Genomic DNA, 3382 nt, shown 5'->3' with positions numbered 1-3382 from the left:
CCTCCTACATTCACTATAGCTTACATTAGATGAGAAAAAGCACAAATAAGAATAATCAATAAATATTTTGATGCGGTGAGGTCTGATCCACAATCATGGTGAACCACTCTAAAATAGATGACTGAGCCTGCCGCTCCTTATCTTGTATTTATTCAAGGAAATGGGAATCTAGGTATTTTCAATGTTTACAAGTTTATATGGCACAAGCTCAGTGTGTCTGTGAAAACTTCTGTTTTCTTCTGGAAGAATCAAGAAAAGATGATGTTGAGAGATGACAATATCTGGTCTGCGTTGAAACAACATTTCTATTTTGTATACAAACAATCTTTGTGTATTATTCTTAGCATCATCTCAAAGGACAGGGAAAGTTACAATAGCACTTATTTATACAAAACCATGAAAGTAGGCTTCTCGCTTGCCCGCCCCTCCCCCGCGCGTCGGCCCTGATGAGCCGGCCGGCAGGCCAGCCTGGCTCCCCTCTCCGGCACCGATGCGCGGGCGTACTCCCCTGAGGAGGCGGGCATGGCAGGGCTGGGCCGGCCGGCGGGCGGGCTACGGTGCCCAACTTCTGCGCTGCCCTCAACCGCATGCGGAAGAGCACACAGTCCGACGTGGCCTTCTTCAGGTTCCCGCGGTACCCGGCCAGATGCCAGAAGTGGGTAGAGAATTGTAGGAGAGCAGATTTAGAAGGTAAAACACATGATCAGCTAAATAAACGTTATCGATTATGTGCCAAACATTTTGCGACCTCTATGATTTGTAGAACTAGTCCTTATAGGACAGTTCTTCGAGATAATGCAATATCAACAATATTTGATCTTACCAGTCATTTGAACAACCCACGTAGTAGACACAGAAAACAAATAAAAAACTGAGTGAAGACGAAATCAGGACACTGAAACAGAAAAAAAAATTGATGAAACTTCTGAGCAGGAACAAAAACAGAAAGAAACCAACAATAGCAATGCTCAGAATCCCAGTGAAGAAGAGGGTGAAGGGCAAGATGAGGACATTTTGCCTCTAACCCTTGAAGAGAAGGAAAACAAGGAATACCTAAAATCTCTATTTGAAATCTTGATTCTGATGGGAAGGCAAAACATACCTCTGGATGGACATGAAGCTGATGAAATCCCAGAAGGTCTCTACTCCAGATAACTTTCAAGCACTGCTGGAGTGCGGAATAAATTCTGGTGAAGAGGTTCTGAGAAAGCGGTTTGAGACAACAGCAGTTAAAATGTTGTTTTGTTCAAAAACACAGCAGAGGCAGTTCTAGAGATCTGTGAGAACTGTATTGGAGAAGAAACTCTCAGGGAAGTGAGAGACTCACACTTCTTTTCCATTGTCATTGACGACATAGTGGACATCAGAGGAAGAGCACCTACCTGTGTTGGTGAGGTTTGTTGATGAATCTCATAACCTATGAGAGGAATTTGTAGGCTTCCTGCCTTATGAAGCTGAAGCAGAAATTATGGCTGTGAAATTTCACACTATGATAACTGAGAAGTGGGGATTAAATATGGAGTATTGTCGTGACCAGGCTTACATTGTGTCTAGTGGATTTTCTTCCAAAATGAAAATTGTTGCTTCCAGACTTTTAAAGAAATATCCCCAAGCTATCCACACAATCTACTCTTCCTGTGCCTTAAATATGTGGTTGGCAAAATCAGTACCTGTTATGGGAGTATCTGTTGCATTAGGAACAATTGAGGAAGTGTGTTCTTTTTTCCATGGATCACCACAACTGCTTTTAGAACTTGACAATGTAATTTCTGGTTGTTTTTTTTTTCAGAATAGTAAAGAAAGGGGTAAAGAACTGAAGGAAATCTGCCATTCTCAGTGGACAGGCAGGCCTAATGCTTTTGAAATTTTAGTGGAACTCCTGCAAGCACTTGTTTTATGTTTAGATGGTAGAAATAGTGACACAAATATTAATGGAATAACTGTATAACTGGCCAAGCATTTGTACTCTGCAGTGCAGTAACAGATTTTGATTTCATTGTTGCTATTGTTGTTCTTAAAAGTGTCCTATCTTTTACAAGAGCCTTTCGGAAAAACCTCCAGGCGCAAACCTCTGATGTCTTCTTTGCAGCCGGTGGCTTGACTGCAGTATTGCATTCACTCAACGAAGTGATGGAAAATATTGAAGTTTATCATGAATTTTGGTTTGAGGAAGCCACAAATTTGGCAACCAAACTTGATATTCAAATGAAACTCCCTAGGACATTCCGCAGAGCTCACCAGGGTAACTTGGAATCTCAGCTAACCTCTGAGAGTTACTATAAAGAAATCCTAAGTGTCCCAACAGTGGAGCACATTATTCAGGAACTTAAAGACATATTCTCAGAACAGCACCTCAAAGCTCTTAAATGCTTATCTCTGGTACCCTCAGTCATGGGACAACTCAAAGTCAATACGTTGGAGGAACACCATGCTGACCTGTATAGTAGTGACTTACCCAATCCCAACATGGTCTCAGCCGAGCTTCATTGTTGGAGAATCAAATGGAAACACAGGAGGAAAAATATACAGCTTCCATCCACCATCTATGAAGCCCTCCACATGCCTGACATTTTTTTCCTAATGTGTATGCATTGCTGAAGGTCCTGTGATGAAGGTTGAGAATGAGCAGTATGAAAACGGATGAAAGCGTCTTAAGGCCTATTTGGGGAACACTTTGACAGACCAAAGGTCGAGTAACTTGGCTTTGCTTAACATAAATTTTGATATAAAAAATGACCTGGATTTAATGGTGGACACATACGTTAAACTCTATACAAGTAAGTCAGAGCTTCCCACAGATAATTCAGAAACTGTGGAAAATACGTAAGAGACTTTTAAAAATAGGTTTTCCTGGCCGGATGCGGTGACTCACGCCTGTAATCCCAGCACTTTGGGAGGCCGAGGCGGGCAGATCACGAGGTCAGGAGATCGAGATCATCCTTGCTGACATGGTGAAACCCCGTCTCTACTAAAAATACCAAAAAAATTAGCTGGGCGTGGTGGCGGCATGCGCCTGTAATCTTGGCTACTCAGGAGGCTGAGGCAGGAGAATGGCCTGAACCCGGGAGGCGAAGCTTGCAGTGAGCCAAGATCGCACCACTGCACTCCAGCCTGGGTGACAGAGCAGGACTGTCTAAAAAAAAAAAAATTGGCTTTCTCATATTTGATATGTGGAAGAAAAGCCATAAGGTGTATGTAGGCCACTTAATCACTAAATATCTTTGCCTATAGGACTCCACTGAATACATTAGCCATTGATAATCTACCTGTTTAAATGGCCCCTGTTTGAACTCTCATGCTTTGAAGACCTATCTGTTCTTCCAGAAGAGAACACTGAAAGTGCCATGTTTCCTTCTGTGTGATCTCTGCTAGCGGCACTCTG

General features: G+C 42.5%; 1 pseudogene; it reads left to right on the top strand.

The window, feature by feature from the left end:
* Window positions 406–2850, top strand: LOC400026 (THAP domain containing 12 pseudogene; annotated as a pseudogene).

The sequence above is a fragment of the Homo sapiens genome, chromosome 12, assembly GCF_000001405.40.
Source record: "Homo sapiens chromosome 12, GRCh38.p14 Primary Assembly".
Taxonomy (NCBI): domain Eukaryota; kingdom Metazoa; phylum Chordata; class Mammalia; order Primates; family Hominidae; genus Homo; species Homo sapiens.
Note: the sequence above shows the minus strand (reverse complement) of the source record. Positions and strands in the feature narration are given on the sequence as shown.